At 45.8% G+C, this 20,473-nt stretch overlaps 2 protein-coding genes and 3 pseudogenes across 4 annotated transcripts in view, besides 2 other annotated features; all 5 read left to right on the top strand.

Moving 5' to 3' along the window:
* IGBP1C (IGBP1 family member C) overlaps positions 1-20,279 on the top strand; it is a 31,622-nt gene extending 11,343 nt beyond the window's left edge. The window contains exon 2 of the mRNA NM_001395966.1: positions 18,874-20,279. Coding sequence (NP_001382895.1) covers positions 19,104-20,126 — 1,023 coding nt within the window. The 5' untranslated portion in view covers positions 18,874-19,103 and the 3' untranslated portion in view covers positions 20,127-20,279. The remainder of the gene's footprint in view (positions 1-18,873) is intronic.
* TEX14 (testis expressed 14, intercellular bridge forming factor) overlaps positions 1-20,473 on the top strand; it is a 135,368-nt gene that overhangs the window by 11,343 nt on the left and 103,552 nt on the right. The gene's annotated exons all lie outside the window — the stretch shown is intronic.
* RNVU1-34 (RNA, variant U1 small nuclear 34) lies at positions 1,013-1,176 on the top strand (annotated as a pseudogene).
* RNU1-52P (RNA, U1 small nuclear 52, pseudogene) lies at positions 2,966-3,129 on the top strand (annotated as a pseudogene).
* Positions 11,318-11,367: an enhancer, noted in NCBI's record as "active region_12489". NCBI's record gives its function as "activates an Ori minimal core promoter by ATAC-STARR-seq in GM12878 lymphoblastoid cells {active_cell/tissue: GM12878}" and the evidence as "EXISTENCE:reporter gene assay evidence [ECO:0000049][PMID:35858748]".
* On the top strand, positions 14,006-14,166 carry RNU1-108P (RNA, U1 small nuclear 108, pseudogene; annotated as a pseudogene).
* Positions 18,994-19,495: an enhancer, noted in NCBI's record as "H3K4me1 hESC enhancer chr17:56738569-56739070 (GRCh37/hg19 assembly coordinates)". NCBI's record gives its function as "activates a minimal SCP1, AML or CMV promoter by ChIP-STARR-seq in naive H9 embryonic stem cells {active_cell/tissue: H9 hESC(naive)}" and the evidence as "EXISTENCE:reporter gene assay evidence [ECO:0000049][PMID:30033119]".

Raw genomic sequence — 20,473 nt, 5'->3', positions numbered from 1 at the left:
GTGCAGCGGCGTGATCTCAGCTCATTGCAACCTCCATCTCCTAGGTTCAAGAGGTTCTCCTGCCTCTTGAGTAGCTGGGATTACAGGTGCCTGCCACCATGCCCAGCTGATTTTTGTATTTTTATTAGAGATAGGGTTTTACCATGTTGGCCAGGCTGGTCTCGAATTCCTGACCTCAAGTGATCTGCCCGCATTGGCCTCCCAAAGGGCTGGGATTACAGGCAGGAGTCACAGCGTCCGGCCTGCTTCATTCAAAATTAGAATTAGCGTTTGTGCAATTGATCTTTCAAGTAAGATTGATCATTTGCTGCATGTTTGAAAGACAGCATTTTGTATGTAAGCATGACACTTTGGACTGGTAGGTAACCTATACAGAGATTGGATTTTCAGATATGTAGACTGGATTTTCAGAAATAATTTTACCAAATTTCATGTTTTCAAACTTACTCAGGTTACGTGTATAGCAGCTTGTTTAACTGCGCAAGAAAGCCGTGCGCGCCTGTTTTTGCAGCTGCTGGGGAAGACTGAAACAGGAAAATCCCCTGAGGCCAGAAGTTCGATAACTACTGTACCCCAGCCTGGGCAACAAAGCAAGACTTTGTCTCTGGGGGGAAAAAAAAAGAAAAAAGACACCATAGTGGCATCATTAGTGCCAAACCCTTAAAGGCAGGAGCTAGTTTACGTTATTTACCTTTTAATCTGTAGAGCATTTTTAAGTTTTATTTCAGTCGTGTCACCAAGCATACTAGGAAAGGACATACTGAATGAGATCATCCAAAGGGGTGTGGAGTATGTAGATAAGCGCAGTGACTGCTGGCTATTTGCACCCTAGGCTTATATTTCTTAAGATTTTGAATAGCCAGATATTAAAAATACAGGTGCTGGGTTATTGTAGTTTGGAAAATATCTTTATTCCAGAAATTAGGGGGTCTAAAGAGCACATGAGAAAAATGATCCTATATTTAGAGTGGTTTGAATCTAAGGGTGAACTCTCAGGCAGCGCTGGGGACTCATACTTAACTGGCAAGGGAAATAACATGATCATTAAAGGTGGATTTTTCAGGGTGAGGTTTGTCTCTTGCATTGTGGATGTGCTGACCCCTGTGGTTTTCTACAAATGTGGGAAACTTAATTGCATAATTTGTGGTAGTGGGGACTATGTTGGTTCTCTCCCCTGATCTGGCTTGTTTATAAAAGGCGTACGTTGTATCTTTGCTTCGTAGGTTTTCCTGTGTTATATTGTAACCTCCTGTTTTGGAATAGCGAGAGATTGATGCCTTCTAATGGTCATTTTTTTCTCCACACACGCTTTTGGTCTCACACCCCTCGTGGTTGGTGTTGTCATTGAGTACTACAGTGATTTGCCATTACAATCAGAAGTACGCAGTTGAATACCTTTGGCGGCTCTAAGGGAGTGTTACCTTCACATTTTCCTTGTTTGTAGCCCTTTCCTTTTCAAAGCTAACAATTTAGCATCTTCTGACTTTTCTTCTGTCTTTATATCTTTTTGTGGACCTCCAGAGTCCTTCTGTTTTTTTTCTTTTCTTGGAGACGGCGTTTCGCTCTTGTAGCCCAGGCTGGAGTACAATGGCGCAATCTCAGCTCACAGCAACCTCAGCCTCAAGGGTTCAAGGGATTCTCCTGCCTCAGCCTCTTGAGTAGCTGGGATTACAGGCACACGCCACCACGCCTTGCTAATGTTTGTATTTTTAGTAGAGACGGGGTTTCACCATGTTGGCCAGGCTGGTCTCGCACTCCTAACCTCAGGTGATTTACCTGCCTCGGCCTCCCAAAGTGCTGGGATTACAGGTGTGAGCCACGGCGCCTGGCTCCAGTGTCCTTCTCTTTTATTATTATTATTATTATTATTATTATTATTATTATACTTTAAGTTCTAGGGTACATGTGCACAACGTGCAGGTTTGTTACATATGTATACATGTGCCATGTTGGTTTGCTGCACCCATTAACTCGTCATTTACATTAGGTATGTCTCCTAATGCTATCCCTCCCCGTTTCCCCCATCCTATGACAGACCCTGGTGTATGATGTTCCCCACCCCGTGTTCAAGTGTTCTCATTGTTCAATTCCCACCTATGAGTGAGAACATACGGTGTTTGGTTTTCTGTCCTTGCAAAGTTTGCTCAGAATGATGGTTTCCAGCTTCATCCATGTCCCTACAAAGGACATGAACTCATCCTTTTTTATGGCTGCATAGTGTTCCGTGGTGTATATGTGCCACGTTTTCTTAATCCATTCTATCATTGATGGACATTTGGGTTGGTTCCAAGTCTTTGCTATTGTGAATAGTGCTGCAATAAGCATACACGTGCATGTGTCTTTATAGTAGCATGATTTATAATCCTTTGGGTATATACCCAGTAATGGGATTGCTGGATCAAATGGTATTTCTAGTTCTAGATCCTTGAGGAATCGCCACACTGTCTTCCAGTGTCCTTCCCTTAAGGACCCTGTGATTACATTAGGCCCATCTGGATAAGCTTTTCATCTTAAATCAATCACATCTAAAAACTTCCCTTTTTTTTCCCCCTTGAGTTGGAGTCTCGCTCTGTCGCCCAGGCTGGAGTGCAGTGGCACCATATCTGCTCACTGCAACCTCTGCCTACCAGGTTCAAGCAATTCTCCTGCCTCAGCCTCCCGAATAGCTGGGCTTACAGGCACCCGCCACCATGCCAGGCTAATTTTTGTATTTTTAGTAGAGATGGGGTTTCACCATGTTGGCCAGGCTGGTCTTGAACTCCTGACCTCGTGATCTGCCTGCCTTGGCCTCCCAAAGTGTTGGGATTACAGGCGTGAGCCACCGTGCCCAGCCATTTCTGGCTCTTAAACTTTGGAAAAGTCTTTATCTTGTAAGTAGCAGGCTAGAACTTGTGCAAGAAGAGTGACCCTATGTGAAGAGTGTTTTGAATCTGAGGGTGAGATGTCAGGCAACAACCATGCCTTCCACTTTACCGGGCAGGGAAGATACCCTGACCACAAAGGTGGTTTTCCCAGGGCAAGGTTCACTCATTGCATTCTGTGTTTGCTGGCCCCTGTGATTTCCCCAAATGTGGGATACTCAACTGCATAATTTGTGGTAGTGGGCGACTGTGTTCACACTTTCCCCTGTGTTATTCTTTGTCAAATGGGAAGTAGCCAATGTGATTGTCTGTGGCCGTGTTTGGCTTCTCCTTGCTTGTTTCTTGTGAACTGTGTCTTTAAATTTCCATGGAAGTGAGAAGCTGTACTACTATTTAGTTTGTGATAGTAACAGGCTTCCTTGGTGTTTTTTCTTGGCTGTGTTCCCTTAATCCAGCATAAACTTTGTACACAATGAGTACCACATATATGTTGGCTGAGTCAAATGAACTGGAAATCAAACTCAGGAAGGATTTCCTTTAAGCATTTTTATTTTTAGAGACAGGGTCTTGCTCTTGTCTCCCAGACTGGAGTACAGTGGTGCTCAATCATGGCTCAAAGCAGCCTTGACCTCCTGGACTCAGTCCTTCTGCCTCAGCCTTCCAAGTAGCTGTACAGGCATGTGCCACCACGGCTGGCTAATTTTTTTTTTTTTTTTTTTTTTGAGACGGAGTTTCCCTCTTGTTGCCCAGGCTGGAGTGCAATGGTTTGATCTCGGCTCCCAGCACCCTCCACCTCCTGAGTTCAAGCGATTCTCCTGCCTCAGCCTCCTGAGTAGCTGGGATTACAGGCACCCGCCACAACACCTGGCTACTTTTTTGTATTTTTTAGTAGAGACGGGGTTTCGCCATGCTGGCCAGACTGGCCTCAGGTGATCTGCCTGCCTCGTCCTCCCAAAGTACTGGGATTACAGGCGTGAGCCACCCCACCTGGTCAGCTGGCTAATTTTAAAAGAACTTTTTGTAGCATAGGGTCTCGCTATGTTGCCCAGGCTGGTCTCGAACTCTTGGCCTCAAGTGATCCTCCCACCTCGGCCTCTCAAGGTGCTGGGATTACAAAAATGAGTACCATACCTGGCCCCTAAAGGATTTTAACCTGCTCTTAACAATGACTATAGAATTGAAATTCATTCATTGCATTCTAAAATGACTACTTTGAATGATCACCTTTAGGTTCTGACATAGTAGTTTGTTGGTTTTGTTTTGTTTTGTTTTCTTTTGTTTGAGATGGAGTTTCACTCTTATTGCTCAGTCTGGAGTGCAATGGCATGATCTTGGCTCACTGCAACCTCTGCCTCCCAGGTTCAAGTGATTCTCTTGCCTCAGCCTCCCGAGTAGCTGAGATTACAGACGCCTGCCACCACGCCTGGGTTTTTTTGTGTTTTTTTTTGTTTTTTTGGTTTTTTTTGAGATGGATTTTCTCTCTTGTTGCCCAAGCTGGAGTGCAATGCTGTGATCTTGGCTTACTGCAACCTCTGCCCCCAGGGTTCAAGTGATTCTCCTGCCTCAACCTCCTGAGTAGCTGGGATTACAGGCACCTGCCACCACGCCTGGCTAATTTTCTTATTTTTAGTAGAGATGGGGTTTCACCATTTTGGCCAGGCTGGGCTTGAACTCCTGATCTCAGGTGATCTGCCTGCGTCAGCCTTCCAAAGTGCTGGGATCACAGGCGTGAGCAACTGCACCTGGCCGACTAATTTTTATGTTTTAGTAGAGAGGGTTTCACCATGTTGGTCAGGCTGGTCTCGAACTCGTGACTTCAGGTGATCCATTAACCTCAGCCTCCCAACGTGCTGGGATATACATGTGTGAGCCACGGCACCTGGCCCATAGTAGTTTTAAAAAGGGAAAAGCTTACATACTACTATGATATATCAATTTAAAAATGCAAAAAGTCCAGACTCAGTGGCTCGTGCTTGTAATCACCGTACCTTTGGAGGCCCAGGCGACAGAACAAGAACCTGTCTCTAAAAATTAAAAACATGTTTAAAGGAAATCCTTTTGGAAATGCTTCCTGAGTTTGATTTCCAGTTCATTCAATTCAGCCAATATATAATGGGGTACTTATTGTAAACAAAGCTTATTCTGGGTGAGGGGAATGCAGATACCCTTGGAACATAGTCCTTGTCATAATCAGGAGTCTGTCTGGGGAAGGGAGATGGGGAAACCATCTGTTAATATTATACCATACAATTCACCCATTTAAAAGATAGTTTGATTTTTAGAAAGAGCCAGAGATTGTCTGGAGACTTTTTTATGTGAACATAACCCCAATATTGTATTGTCTTCATTATAAAACAAAAGATGACACTTAGAACTGGATATCATTTGGCCCTTTCTCTTCTCATCTCCTCTCACTTCAAAATGCTTACATCTCTTAATACCCAGCATTCTCTTTGTTCTGCAGTTGGGCTCAACACACTCAAGGCTTGGCACAATCTTCTTTGTAGTTTTAGCTTTTTTCGGGAAAATCAACTAGTTTGCCCACCCATAGCCAGATACTTGTCATTTTGATTCTAGCAATCATAGTGAGGGTGAAGTGGTATTTCATGGTGATTTTGATTTGTATTACCCTGATGGCTAAGAATATTGAACATATTTTCGTGTGCTTATTGGCTATTTGCATCTTTTTTTTTTTTTGGAGATGGTTTCCCTGTGTCATCCAGGCTGGAGTGCAATGGCACAATGTCAGCTCACTGCAACTTCCACCTCCCAGGCTCAAGTGATTCTCATGCCTCAGCCTCCCAAGAAGCTGGGGTTATAGGCATGTGCTACCATGCCCAGCTAATTTTTGTGTTTTTTGTAGAGATGGGGTTTCGTCATGTTGGCCAGGCTGGTCTCAAACTCCTGGCTTCAAGTGATGCACCCCCCCTCAGCCTCCCACAGTGCTGGGATTACAGGTGTGAGCCACCGTGCCCGGCCTACCTGCCTTTTTTTTTTTTTTTCCAAAGGCCTCATCGAAGATAAATCTTTTTTTTTTTTTAACCACTTTATTGAAGGATAATTGACATACTATACTTGTGCTTTTGATGTCATATGTAAGAAATCATTCCCTAATTGGAGGTCAGGAAGATTTACATCTATGTTTTCTTCTTAGTGTTTCTATTCGTTTTTTGAGATGGATTCTCACTCTGTCACCCAGGCTGGAGTGCAGGGGCAGGATCTCGGCTCACTGCAACCTCCGCCTCCCAGGTTCAAGCGATTCTTGTGCCTCTCCGTCTCGAGTAGCTGGGATTACAGGCCTGAGCCACCATGCTCAGCTAATTTTTGTATTTTTAGTAGAGACGGGGTTTCGCCACGTTGGCCAGGCTGGTTGTGAACTCCTGACCTCAAGTGATCTGTCCACCTTGGCCTCCTGTAGTGCTAGGATTACAGGCGTGAGCCACTGCGCCTGGCCGGACTTTCATCATAAATAAGTTATTCTCACTCCTGTGAAAAGGATGTGGGTTCAATAGGATTAGTTTGTGGTTCTCAATTCTGTCAAATCAAGGGTTTCCTTTTTTTTTTTTGAGACAGAGTCTTGCTCTGTCGCCCAGGCTGGAGTGCAGTGGTGCGATCTCGGCTCACTGCAACCTCCACCTCCCTGGTTCAAGCAATTCCCCTGCCTTAGCCTCCCGAGTAGCTGGGATTATAGGCGCATGCCACCACACCCAGCTAAATTTTTTGTAGTTTTAGTAGAGATGGGGTTTCACCATGTTGGCCAGACTGGTCTTGAACTCCTGATCTCAGGCAATCTGCCCGCCTTGGCCTCCCAAAGTGCCAGGATTACAGGTGGGAGACACCGCACCCGGCCCAGGGTTTCCTTTTATAAGAACTAGTAACATTCCATTTACTACCTTGAAGATGTTTGTAGAAAATATAAACTACATATAGTTACCCCACAGATAATATGTCCTAACTATAATATGAAGGAGAGAAGCCACGTGGGGTGGCTCACGTCTATAATCCCAGGACTTTGGGAGGGTGGGAGGATCGCCTGAGCCAAGAAGTTTGAGACCAAGCTGGGCAACATGGCTTAACCCCAACTGTAGAAAAACAAAAAAAAGATTGAAAAAATTAGCTGGGCATGGTGGTGCATGCCTGTGGTCCCAGCTACTCGGGAGGGTGAGGTGGGAGGATCACCTGAGCCCAAGAGGTTGAGGATGCAGTGAGCTGAAATTGCGTGACTGCATTCCAACCAGCCTGGGTTACAGAACAAGACCCTGTCTCAAAAACAAAACAATACAAATATAAAGGAGAGAGAAAAATAAGTTACAATACAATTATTTATTTATTTATTTATTTATTTATTTATTTATTTTTGAGATGGAGTCTCACTCTGTCGTGTAGGCTGGAGTGCAGTGGCGTGATCTCGGCTCACTGCAACCTTTGCCTCCTGGGTTCAACCGATTTTCCTGCCTCAGCCTCCTGAGTAGCTGGGACTACAGGTGTGCACCACTACGCCTGGCTAATTTTTTATATTTGTTATTTTTTTTTTATGGTTTCGCCATATTGGCCAGGCTGGTCTTGAACTCCTGACCTTATAATCCACCCACCTCGGCCTTCCAAAGTGCTGGGAATACAGGCATAAGCTACCGCGCCCTGCCCTACAATACAATATTTTAATATGTAAAGGCTTGGCATGACTACCCAGGGAAACAAAAACATCCCCTCAGAGTTTCAAAATTTCCCTTTGGGAGTGGCTCCACTGTCATGGAGAACCACTCAATTGTAAGAAATTTTTTTTAAAAAAAGTATGTATAAAAGGAATGCCGGCTGAGCGTGGTGGCTCATGCCTGTAATCCCAGCACTTTGGGAGTTCGAGGCTAGCAGATCACTTGAGGTCAGGAGTTCAAGACCAGCCTGGCCAACATGGAGAAACCCCATCTCTACTAAAAATACAAAAATTAGTCAGGCATGGTGGCACGCATCTGTAATCCCAGCTACTCAGGAGGCTGAAGCAGGAGAATCGCTTGAACCCAGGAGGCAAAGGTTGCAGTAAGCCGAGATCACACCATTGCACTCCAGCCCGGGTGACAGAGCGAGACTCCATCTCAAAACAAACAAAGAAAAAAAGGAATGCCGACTGGGTATGGTGGCTCACAGTTGTAATCCCAGCACTTTGGGTGGCCAAGGAGTTCGAGGCCAGCCTGGCCAACATGGTGAAACCCCGTCTCTACTAAAAATACAAAAAATAAAAAAACATTAGCTGGGCCTGGTGGCGCGTGCCTATAATCCCAGCTACTCGGGAGGCTGAGGCAAGAGAATCATTTGAACCTGGGAGGCAGAGGTTGCAGCAAGCTGAGATTGCACCTCTGCACTGCAGCCTGGGTGATAGAGCGAGACTCTGTCTCAAAAAAAGGAATGCCAAGTAGCAGTGAGGATGTAGTTGCAGTTTGCATAAATTTGGAGTATTTGGAGTAAGAGTGCTGGAAGATTCTGCAACTTTTTTTCTCCAGCAGTGCTGGGGAAATGGGAGTAGAGGAGATGACTGTTGATTGGCTCTAGGACCAGTTAGAGCAGGGGATTCCAACCCCCTGGAAGGAGCATGGTACCAGTTGGTGGCCTGTTAGGAACTAGGCCGCACAGCAGGAGGTGATGTCATTACTGCCTGAGCACCTCCTCCTGTTAGATCAGCAGCCACATTAGATTCTCATAGGAGCGTGAAACCTATTGTGAACTGAGCATGCCAGGGATCTAGGTTGCACACTCCTTATGAGAACCTAACTAATGCCTGATGAGCTGAGGTGGAACAGTTTCATCCTGAAACCATTCCCACCCACCCCCTGTTATCCGTGGAGAAATGGAAAATTGTCTTCCATGAAACTGGTCCCTGGTGCCAAAAAGTTTGGGAGCCTCTAAGATAGAGGAAATACGCTGTGCTGCAGCATGAAGTAGGTGAGAGATGGGGCTAGGGGCCTAGTGAGTGAAATGGCGTGGAAAGTCTAAAGGATTAGATGAATTGAGGGATGAGCTTCTCTGGCAGTGAGTAGACCTGAGGTCCAGGGAAGGCTTTTGTAAGCTCAAAACATGTAAAATGGTGAGAAAATAGAACAAGAAAACGAGTTTTTAAAATATATTTCTGATCTAGCAAAAAGAGAAATCCACAGAGACCCAGAGAAAGAAACAAATCCAGAAAGGAAAGGCAGGGATGGACCCTGTCTATTTCCTAAGGACATTGGCCATCCTTAGAAGCTCTGGGGCTGGCTTTTAATGGACCACAGGCAGGAGACAAAGCTTGGGGCCTGAGCTGGGTGGGAGGTCTGACTAGAGAGTCCCTCCTCATTCTATAAAGCTGCGACCCCAGGAGAAGAACACTCTCAGTTCTGAGGAATGCCCCCTCCCCAAGAGAAAGATGTTAGAGATATGTGCTGGTCTCAGCCTCAGCCTGAGAATGGGAAGGGGCAGAGAAATCTTCACCACTATCTCACATTCACAGTCCCTCAAAATGGGCCAGAATTCATACTGCTATGTGTATATGTTAGGGGATGGCACAAAAAGTTACTTTAGCCTGGCTTGGTGATGTCCCCCAGCACCAGGCAGAAACAAAAGAAACCCTCTCTAGTCTATTCATTTCTCAAAATGAAACTACAATAATTGAAATAATAATCTTAGTGAATGGGTTAAGCAGCAGACACTGCCAAAGACAGAATTAGTGAAGACAGATCTGAAAAATTACCCAGGATGTAGCTCAAAGAAATATAGAGATGGGAAAATGCAAGAAAGTTTCAAAGAGATAGAGAATAGAATGAGAGGGTCAAGATAAATGCAATGAGAGTTCCAGAAGGTGGAGTGGAAGCAATATTTGGACATGTAATGGTAATCAGTGTCCCAATTGTATATATTTATTGTGTACACGTTGTTTTGAAGTATTATACATTGTGGAATGGCTACAGGGAGCTAATTAATATATGCATTACTGTATGTACTTCTATCATTTTATTGTGGTAAAGATGCTTAACATATGCTTTCAGGAATTTTCAAGAATATATTAAGTATAGTCACTTTTTTTTTTTTTTTTTTTTTTTTTTTTAAGAGGGAGTCTCACTCTGTCGCCCAGGCTGGAGTGTAGTGGCGCAATCTTGACTCACTGCAACCTCCACCTCCCGGGTTCAAGCAATTATCCTGCCTCAGCCTCTCAAGTAGCTGGGATTACAGGTGCCTGCCACCACACCCAGCTAATTTTTGTATTTTTAGTAGAGATGGGTTTCTCCATATTGGCCAGGCTGGTCTCAAACACCTGACCTCAAGTGATCTACCCACTTCAGCCTCCCAAAGTGCTGGGATTACAAGCGTGAGCCACGGCTCCTGGCTGAATTTAGTTTCTTGGTCCCTGATCCTTATTCTTACCTTCCCAAAGCTGTTTGTTGTTTTTTTTTTTAATCTTCCCAAAGTTTATTTAGGCTTCTCACACTCCTTTTCTATCACATTTCTTAGCTTTCTAATCATTACACACACACATCCTATAGATAGATGGATAGATAGGCAGAAATCTCCATGCCAGGTACTTTGCTAGCCTGAGACTCCAGCAGTGACAGATGAAAACTCTCAGGTCCTTCGACAGTCTGTAGTCTAGCCCAGGAAACTGACTGATAATCACACAGTGGAATAATGAATGGACTGAAGATAAAGACTAAAAGAGAAATTAAAGGACTCTTACTATGATAACAGAGGGAGCTCAGCGTGGGAAGAGAAGTTAGATTTGTCAGGAGAGGCAGGGTAAAAACATTTTAAGCAAGGGGAACTACACAGGCAAAGGCTCTGAGGCTGGAAAGAGGCTGCGGCTGTAGCTGTGGCTGCCACGGCGGTATGGTGGACAGTACAGGCAGGCTGGAAAAGCTATGGAGCCAGCCCATGCAGAGCCTCAAGGAGCGTGGGATGGAGTTGGTGCTTTATCCAGAGGGCAGTAAGGAGTATTGAAGGGCTTTGGGCAAGGGAGTAACATTAGATTAGAGCAGCACCAATGCTCCTTCCTGACATTTTGTTAACATGTATTCACATGAGGGTGCTTCTTGCTAAACCTCAATGAAGTCTCAAGCTGTTGCTGGCTTTTTTTTTTTTTTTTTTTTTTTGAGACGGAGTCTCTCTCTGTTGCCCAGTCTAGAGTGCAGTGGCGTGATCTCAGCTCCCTGCAACCTCTGCCTCCCAGGTTCAAGTGATTCACCTGCCTCAGCCTCCTGAGTAGCTGGGATTACAGGCATGCGCCACCACACCTGGCTAATTTTTGTATTTTTAGTAGACATGGGGTTTCACCATTTTGGTCAGGCTGGTTTCGAACTCCTGACCTCAAATGATCCACTTAACCTCGGCCTCCGAAAGTGTCAGGATTACAGGCGTGAGCCACCACGCCCAGCAGCTGGCTTGTTACATTCTTTAGCCATCGTCTGGTGACTTTCAGCAAATATGACAAACTCCTCTCCACACCCCCTCCTGTTTTTTTTTTTGTTTGTTTTTGAGACAGAGTGTCGCTCTTTCGCCCAGGCTGGAGTGCAGTGGCATGATCTCGGCTCACTGCAACCTCTGCCTCCTGGGTTCAAGCCATTCTTCTGCCTCAGCCTCCTGAGTAGCTGGAATTAGAGGCGTGTACCACCATACCTGGCTAATTTTTGTATTTTTAGTAGAGATGGGGTTTCACCATGTTGGCCAGGCTGGTCTTGAACTCCTGACCTCAGGTGATCTGCCCACCTCACCCTCCCAAAGTGCTGGGATTATAGGCATGAGCCACTGTGCCTGGCATTGTCTCCCCCTTTTTTACACAATACAGATGTATCCCTAATCCTCCATTCATACAGTGTTGATAATTGCCAGGTTCCATTTTTTATGCCTACCTAGAACAGTGGTTCTCAGCCTTTTTTTCTAATTTGATATATACCCGGAACAAATGACACTCACTTGCCAGAATGTCTCCACCCTACAGCTTCTCAAACTGTGTGATGTAATATATTGACCCCCCAGTCCTCAGGGCCTTTGGGTAGGATGTTAGGGTGGGTGACTAGAGCCCTTGGGCCAGTTACCTCGCATAGCAGTTCACCTAGGATGCCACATGCTTTCTGGGTGATCCAGATTATTTTCTGTAGATGTCACCCTTGTCTGTGTGTGCATAAAAATAAAAAAAAGAAGTCCTCTCTGGGGATGACTACATGGATTTTAATTCCTTCTCTACCACTTGGGCACATTTCAGCCTCCCTTGGCCTCAGTTTTCTCATATGCAAAATGGAGATATTGTGTACTCTGTAGAATTGTTGAGTGGATTAAATGAGTTAAGGTGTGTGAAGTTCTTCTCCCTGTGCTGGGAGCACCCTGAGCCTTCAGTGGGCATTGGCTAAGATGATTCAGTAGACAGTCATGACTGGACCCAGGCTCCAGTTACTTCCTCCACATTTGCAGGGGTTTATAGTTACTGCAGCTCCTCCAGGCACATCAGTAGAAGAGGCTTTGGTAGCTGGGAGAGGTGCACTTTTTTGCTGTAAGGATGACTTTGTTCAGGACCATCAGGATAGGTATAGAGACCGCTGCAATGGGGTCTTGTAGTGGAGGAGAAAGACTGGGCACAAGTCCAAAGTACAGCATGGGCAAATGGGAATTTGTAGCCAAGGAGCAGTGTGGAGGTCAGTGGTTAGAAAATTACCAAGAGGAAACATCAGGGGTAAGAGGAATTCTGGCTAAACTGATCTAACAGGATTCTTGCTGAAGACAGGCTGGGGTGATCAGATATCACCTGGGGGGTGGTGCAGGATGAGGAACCTGATCAGATTTGGAGAATTTGGGTTTCAGCTAAATTGACTTAGCAGGGTTCCTTTACTAAAACTGGATTTTACAAGAACATGCACAGACTGGCCTATGAGAAGGTTCAGAAGCCTGAATAAGGTTTGGCCAAGCAAACAAGAAAAGAATCTTTTTTTTTTTTTTTTTTTAGCCAGAGTCTCACTCTGTCGCCCAGGCTGGAGTGCGGTGGCATGATCACGGCTCATTGCCTCACTGCAACCTTCGCCTCCCGGGTTCAAGCAGTTCTCCTGCCTCAGCCTCCCAAGTAGCTGGGATTACAGGCACTTGCCACCATGCCCGGCTAATTTTTGTATTTTTAGTAGAGACAGGGTTTCACCATGTTGGCCAGGCTGGTCTCGAACTCCTGACCTCAAGTGATTCGCCCACCTCAGCCTCCCAAAGTGTTGGGATTACAGGCGTGAGCCACTGCACCCGGCCAGCAAAGAATCTTTGTCATGCCTCAGGTTCTTTATCCATGAAATGGGGATGATTCCATTTCCTACCTCAACGTTGTGAGGATTAACCATAAAGTCCAGATGCATGGTAAACAGTAGATGTTAGCTGTTAGTATTTCTTGGTTTGCTTTAGGGTTTTTATTGGGTTGCCTGACTCACATGTTATAATTATGCTTTAAGGTTTAAGCTGTTCGTTAATGTATTTGTTTTAGTCTTCACAAAAACTCCTCCAAGGACAGTAATGCAGGTTTTACAAACTGAGGAACAAGTTGAGGCCATAAGCTCATCGAAAGTCTTGCATTGTGAACGCTATATTGCAGTCCAGATCTTGGATTCCAAAACCCTCCACTCTGCAGTACAGCCTGCTAGCATGCCCTGTTCCCCTTCTTGGAATAAGAGGAAATGATGCCGGGGTGGTTCACAGCGTGGGTATCCCGTGACTAAAAGTTCATTCACGTCTGTTAGCTCAAGGAAACTCTCCATACAGGGAGATCCGAAGGCCTTAGGCTACGCCAAAAGTAGTGAGGTGGTGCGTTTTTGTCAGGAAAATGGCCTGACAGACGTCACTTGCATTGACGCGAGCAGGAGAAGGAACTGCTGGTTGGAAGCGGGCCGAGATGAGAACGCAGTTGCGCTCTCTGACCAGCCAGGCCTATGCATGACGTCACGCCGGGAGGTGGAGTATGTAGATTAAAGACTGCATTTTGGAAACGCGTTCCTTGGAAGGATTTGCACAACTCTGTTACCAACACCAAGATATAGTATAAAAAATCTGTTTATTTTGTTCACTATATGTGGATAAAGTCCAATTAGAGTCATTTCAGGAGTTACCCGCACTTGCAATGATGTGGGCGGCACCGGGGATTGCTGGGGTCACGCAAGTACCTCATAATTACCTGTCAGGAGAAATACTGTGATTATGGAGGTGGTTTTTCCCTGTGTGTGGCTTATTCGTTGCACTTTGTGCTGATCCCTACGATTTCCCCAAATGTGGGTAACTACAGTGTATAATTTGTGGTAGCGGGAGATTGCGTTCGCACTTGCTGCTGGTTGTGGTAGTTGAAATGCAAGTTTTGTTAGTTGTGTATTAGCTTTTGCTTTTTTTTTTTTTTTTTTTTTTTTTTTTTGCCGTGGAAGGTTTGTTTCACTTTGTTTATCTAGGCTGGAGTGCAGTGGCATCCGAATTCATGCGCTCAGCCTTCTTTGGTTGTTTTAGGTTTTGCCTTATTTATTTTTTTGGGACACAGTCTTGCTCTATTTTCCAGGCTGGAGTGCAGTGGAGCAATCTCGGCTCACCGCAGCCTCCACCTCCCGAGTTCGAGCTATTCTCGTGTCTCAGCTTCCCTAGAAACTGGGATTACATTACAGGCATGCACCACCATGCCTGGCTAATTTTTGCATTTTTAGTAGAGATGGCGTCTTACCATGTTGGCAAGGCTGGTCTCGAACTCTTGTCCTCAAGTGATCCACACCTTCAGCCTCCTAAAATGCTGGAATTACAGGCGTGAGCCATGGCACCCAATTTTTTTTTTTTTTTTTGAGACAGAGTCTCGCCGTCTCCCAGGCTGGAGTTGAGTGGCACAATCTCGGCTCACTGCAACCTCCGCCTCCTAGGTTGAAGCGATTCTCCTGCCTCAGCCTCCTGAGTAGAGCTGGGAATACAGGCACCCGCCACCACGCGTGGCTAGTTTTTTGTATTTTTAGTAGAGACGAGTTTTCACTACGTTGGTCAGGCCGGTCTTGAACTCCTGACCTCATGTGATCCACCCTCCTCGGCCTCCCAAAGTGCTGGGATTATAGGCGTGAGCCACCGCGCCCAGCCTTATTTTTTTTTTTCATTGTTTCTTTTGGTTCTTAAGAATGCTTTGGGGTTGCAGGGTTGTTACCGTTGCTTACTGTTTAAAGCTGTACCTTGCTATCATTTAATGCTTAGGAACTTTAGTGAGGTAAACGCAATGAGTTGTGGGTTTTTTTGTTTTTTGTTTTTTATGAGACAGAGTCTCACCCTGTTGCCTAGGCTGGAGTGCAGTGGCGCGATCTCGGCTCACTGCAACCTCCGCCTCCCAGGTTCAAGCAATTCTCATGCCTCAGCCTCAGAGTAGCTGGACTACAGCCACGCATGACCACAATAAGCTAACTGTATTTTTAGTAGAGGCAGGGTTTAGGCAAGTTGGTCAGGCTGATCTTCAACTGCTGGCCTCAAGCCATCCTGCCTCAGCCTCCCAAAGTGCTGGGATTTCAGGCATGAGTCATTGCACCCAGGCAAAACATGATAATAAAGTTAATTTCATGTGGGCCGGGCCTGATGACTCATGCTTGTAATCCCAGTACTTTGGGAGGCTGAGGCAGGAGGATGGCTTGAGACCAGGAGCTCAAGACCAGACTGGGCAGCATAGCGAGACCCTATCTCTATAAATATAAAATAATAAAAATAATAATATAGCTACTAAAAATGTTCAACTGAATATGTCGAATGTTGCCCACATCATATTCCACTGGACAAGCAGTGCTCTAACTTAATCTGTTTCCTTATTTTAAAGTTTCCAGAGAGCCTTGCTGTATTACTTCCACAAACTTACATGCCTGCTCTTCCTGGAATGCACTTCCCTGCCCTGCCCTTCTTCATCTACCTGGAAAACTTATACTTCAGCCCTTCCAAACTGCCTGGGATCCACTCAGTGCCACTGAACCCAGGGTGGCCTTATCTGTTACGTACCACAGGCACACTGCCTAGGGGCACTTCTTTTAAAAATCAGAAGAAAAAAATGAATTTTTAGGTGGAAGAAAATGTCATATATAATAATATATTCATCTTTTAATCAATGCAGTCATAAGATAGCATTTTTAACATATATTTTAATGGAAATGTATATATTTTATCAGAGGAGGCAGGCACACAAAGGCAAAAGTATGGGCCCTTCAAAATCGTAATGTGGCCCTGCTGAACTTTTTATAGGTCTGGCAAGTCTGTTTTCCCTACAGACTATGATCTTATTTATTGCAGGCAGACTCAGTCTCTGCATTATTCCTCTTAGTATCCCCAGTGGCTAGGCCAGCGGACTGGACCTTGAACATTTAAGTGGCTGTCAGTAAATGAGAAGTATGTGCTACATGTAAGTAATGACTTGAGAACAGGTGTTTTTCATCATTAGCAGCAAAGAAATTCAAGAATATGAATGGCAAAAATACTGGAGTAGACAATGTGGTCATCAGAAATGGAGTTCTCCCAGCATAGGAAAAAGGGTCTGTTAGTACCTGTGATATCAGAGCCATGAGGGGGCACAAATAATCATAGAGGCCTCAGAGCTGTGGTCAGCCTGGCATTCATGGATACCATTGAAAGCCAAAGTATTACTTTCCTCATGTGAAATCAAACCTTCTGGAATAAAATTAGGAAGGTAGTTCAATAATGAGATTATATAGTATAACCGAGGTGGGCTGGGTCACACTTTGTGGATGAAGGTAATCCAGCAATTGTCCTAAATCAGCAATTGTACTAAATAGTGTGGAGTTGGGTTTTTGCTGTTGTTTTTTTGTTGTTGCTGGGGGAGCGGTTAAGACAGGGTCTCACTCTCACTAGGCTGGAGTGCAGTGGCACAACACAGCCTCCACCTTCCCAAACTCAGGTGATATCAGCACCTCGGCCTCCCAAAGTGATGGGATTGCAGGCATGAGCCACTGCCCCTGGCCTAAATAGAGTTAGTATGGTTTTTATTGCAGAGCTTTGTGGCTGAGAAATGCAGCTTCAGGGCCAGTGTGTTTCAGGAGTGAATGGATTTGGCTCCCCACAACTCAGGGTGTTGAGTAAGACATTTAGTGGCCTGGCACATTGGCTCATGCCTGTAATCCCAGCACTTCGGGAGGTCAAGGCAGGCAGATCACCTGAGGTCAGGAGTTCAAGACCAGCCTGGCCAACATGGTGAAACCCCATCTCTACCAAAAACACAAAAAATTAGCCAGGCGTGGTGGTGCATCCCTGTAGTCCCAGTTACTCAGGAAGCTGAGGCAGGAGAATTGCTTGAACCCAAGAGATGGAGGTTGCCGTGAGCCAAGATCATGTCACTACACTCTAGCCTGAGTGACAGAGTGAGACTCTGTCTTAAAAAAAAAAAAAATTTAGATTCAGTTACATTGGCATTAATGACTTTTTTTTTTTTTTTTTTGAGACGGAGTTTTGCTCTTGTTGCCCAGGCTGGAGTGCAGTGGTGTGATCTCGGCTTACTGCAACCTCCGCCTCCCACGTTCAAGCAATTCTCCTGCCTCAGCCTCCCAAGTAGCTGGGATTACAGGCATGCACCGCCACAACCGGCTAATTTTGTATTTTTAGTAGAGACAGGGTTTCTCCATGTTAGTCAGGATGGTCTTGAACTCCCGACCTCAGGTGATCCATCTGCCTTGGCTTCCAAAAGTGCTGGGATTACAGGTGTGAGCCACCATGCCTGGCCAACATTAATGACTTTTCTTTTTTTTTTTTTTTGAGACGGAGTCTCACTCTGTCACCCAGGCTGGAGTGCAGTGGTGCCATCTCGGCTCACTGCAACCTCTGCCTCCCGGGTTCACACCGTTCTCCTGCCTCAGCCTCTCCGAGTGGCTGGGACTACAGGTGCCCACCACCACGCCCGGCTAATTTTTTTGTGCTTTTAGTAGAGACGGGGTTTCACCATGGTCTCGATCTCCTGACCTTGTGATCCACCCGTCTCAGCCTTCCAAAGTGCTGGGATTACAAGCGTGAGCCACCGCGCCCGGTCACATTAATGACATTTTAACAGTCACAACTGCTTTGTGAACTTATGTAACAAAACTCAGCTTTTAAAAATTATTGAGTATATATGTCACTCTCATATTTCTGAGCATCAACCCTTCCTTCCTTGACTCCCATGAGGCAAAGTGATGGTTGGAAATTCAGAGATGAGGTGAGACTCACAAACTGAGGGGCATGTCTTAGGACAGCACACCTGAGTTGGCAGGAACAGCCATGATCTGAGATTAATAGTTGTGCCTGTTGCTGCCCTTCCCCACACGTAAGGGAACTCTCCAAATAACATTCTGTACTGAGGGGCTGTGTTTCTCCATCTCAACTTATTTGGGGTCTTTGATTTAGTCATAATTTGGTCATGTAGTTGGTTTGATTCTGTGTGTGTGTGTGTGTGTGTGTGTGTGTGTGTGTGTGAGATATGTGTGCTATATATCTGTACACACATAATATGTATTATGTACAAGCAATTCTCCTGCCTCAGCCTCCTGAGTAGCTGGGATTACAGGCACCCGCCACCACGCCCAGCTAATTTTTTGTATTTCTAGTAGAGATGGGGTTTCACCGTGTTAGCCAGGATGGTCTCGGTCTCCTGACCTCCTAGTCCGCCCACCTCGGCCTCCCAAAGTGGGGGATTACAGGAGTGAGCCACCGCGCCTGGCCACTCAGTAATTTTTGAAAACTGAGTTTTAGGCCAGGCGTGGTGGCTCACGCCTGTAATCCCAGTACTTTTTACATCATACATACACAGATATAGACATACAGGAACACTCGGTTTGTTACCAAATCCGGGCCTGATGCTACTTCCCTGTGTGGCAGGAACTGCAGATACTTGAATCTTGGCAAAGTCACTTTGGGGGTCCCAAAGTACAGGGGGCAGCAGTCGAGGGGCAGAATAGCCTGGGTTGGGGGTAGCTGCATTTTTACATGCATTCTCTTATTCAGTCCTCACAGAAATCTTGTGAGCCAGGAAGGCAGTATTATTCCCACTTTACAATTTTAGGAAACGGAAACAGAGAGACAAAGTTTGACGAAGACCCGGAGTGGAGCAGCGATTCAGACCCGGCACAACCGACTCCGTTGCCTTCCCCTATGCCGCCCCCAACGCCACCGCCTCCCTGACTGCCCTGCCGTGCAGCGCCCGATTCAGACTGGTTGTTAGAAATCTACGCCAGAATCTTTACGTGTGTCCAGAAAGGAAAGGAATCAACATTTCGCATCAGCCTTCCCAAGATGGCAGCTGCTGAAGACGAGTTCCTGCCGCCGCCGCGGCTCCCCGAGCTGTTCGATTCCAGCAAACAGCTTCTGGACGAAGTCGAAGGAGCGACTGAACCCACCGGTTCCCGAATAGTCCAGGAAAAGGTGTTCAAGGGCCTCGACCTCCTTGACAAGGTTGCCAAAATGTTATCGCAGCTTGACTTGTTCAGCCGAAATGAAGATTTGGAGGAGATTACTTCCACCGACCTGAAGTACCTGATGGTGCCAGCGTTTCAAGGAGCCCTCACCATGAAACAAGTCAACCCCCGTAAGCGTCTAGATCATTTGCAGCAGGCTCGCGAACACTTTATAAAATACTTAACTCAGTGCCATTACTATCGTGTGGCCGAGTTTGAGCTGCCCCAAACCAAGACCAACTCAGCTGAAAATCACGGTGCTATTACCTCCACGGCTTATCCTAGCCTCGTTGCTATGGCATCTCAAAGACAGGCTAAAATAGAGCGATACAAGCAGAAGAAGGTGTTGGAGCATAAGTTGTCTACAATGAAATCTGCTGTGGAAAGTGGTCAAGCAGATAATGAGCGTGTTCGTGAATATTATCTTCTTCACCTTCAGAGGTGGATTGATATCAGCTTAGAAGAGATTGAGAGCATTGATCAGGAAATAAAGATCCTGGGAGAGAAAGACTCTTCAAGAGAGGCATCCACTTCTAACTCATGTCACCAGAAGAGGCCTCCAATGAAACCCTTCATTCTCACTCGGAACATGGCGCAAGCCAAAGTATTTGGCGCTGGCTATCCAAGTCTGGCTTCCATGACAGTGAGTGACTGGTATGATCAACATCAGAAACATGGAGTGTTACCAGATCAGGGAATAGCCAAGGCAACACCAGAAGAATTCAGAAAAGCCACTCAGCAACAGGAAGATCAAGAAAAGGAGGAAGAGGATGATGAACAAACACTCCAAAGAGCTCGAGAGTGGGATGACTGGAAGGACACCCACCCTAGGGGCTACGGCAACCGACAGAACATGGGCTAATCTTCCCACAACACCGCAGGACTGCAGGGTGCACACCTTCCCCGCCAAGGAAAACCATGCAGCCTTCCCCTCCCTGAGCTCCCCTACAGCTGTGTAAAACGAAGGCAAAGATGCTTAATGTTGCTTTGAGTTCAATAAAGTGTTAAATTATTATTATTATTTTATTTATTTTTTTGAGATGGAGTTTTTTACTTGTCGCCCAGGTTAGAGTGCAATGGCGCGATCTCGGCTCACTGCAACCTCCACCTCCTGGATTCAAGAGATTCTCCTGCCTCAGCCTCCCGAGTAGCTGGGATTACAGGCGCCCGCCACCACGCCCAGCTAATATTTTGTATTTTGAGATGAGG

The sequence above is a fragment of the Homo sapiens genome, chromosome 17 (assembly GCF_000001405.40).
Source record: "Homo sapiens chromosome 17, GRCh38.p14 Primary Assembly".
Classification (NCBI taxonomy): Eukaryota; Metazoa; Chordata; class Mammalia; order Primates; family Hominidae; genus Homo; species Homo sapiens.
Note: the sequence above shows the minus strand (reverse complement) of the source record. Positions and strands in the feature narration are given on the sequence as shown.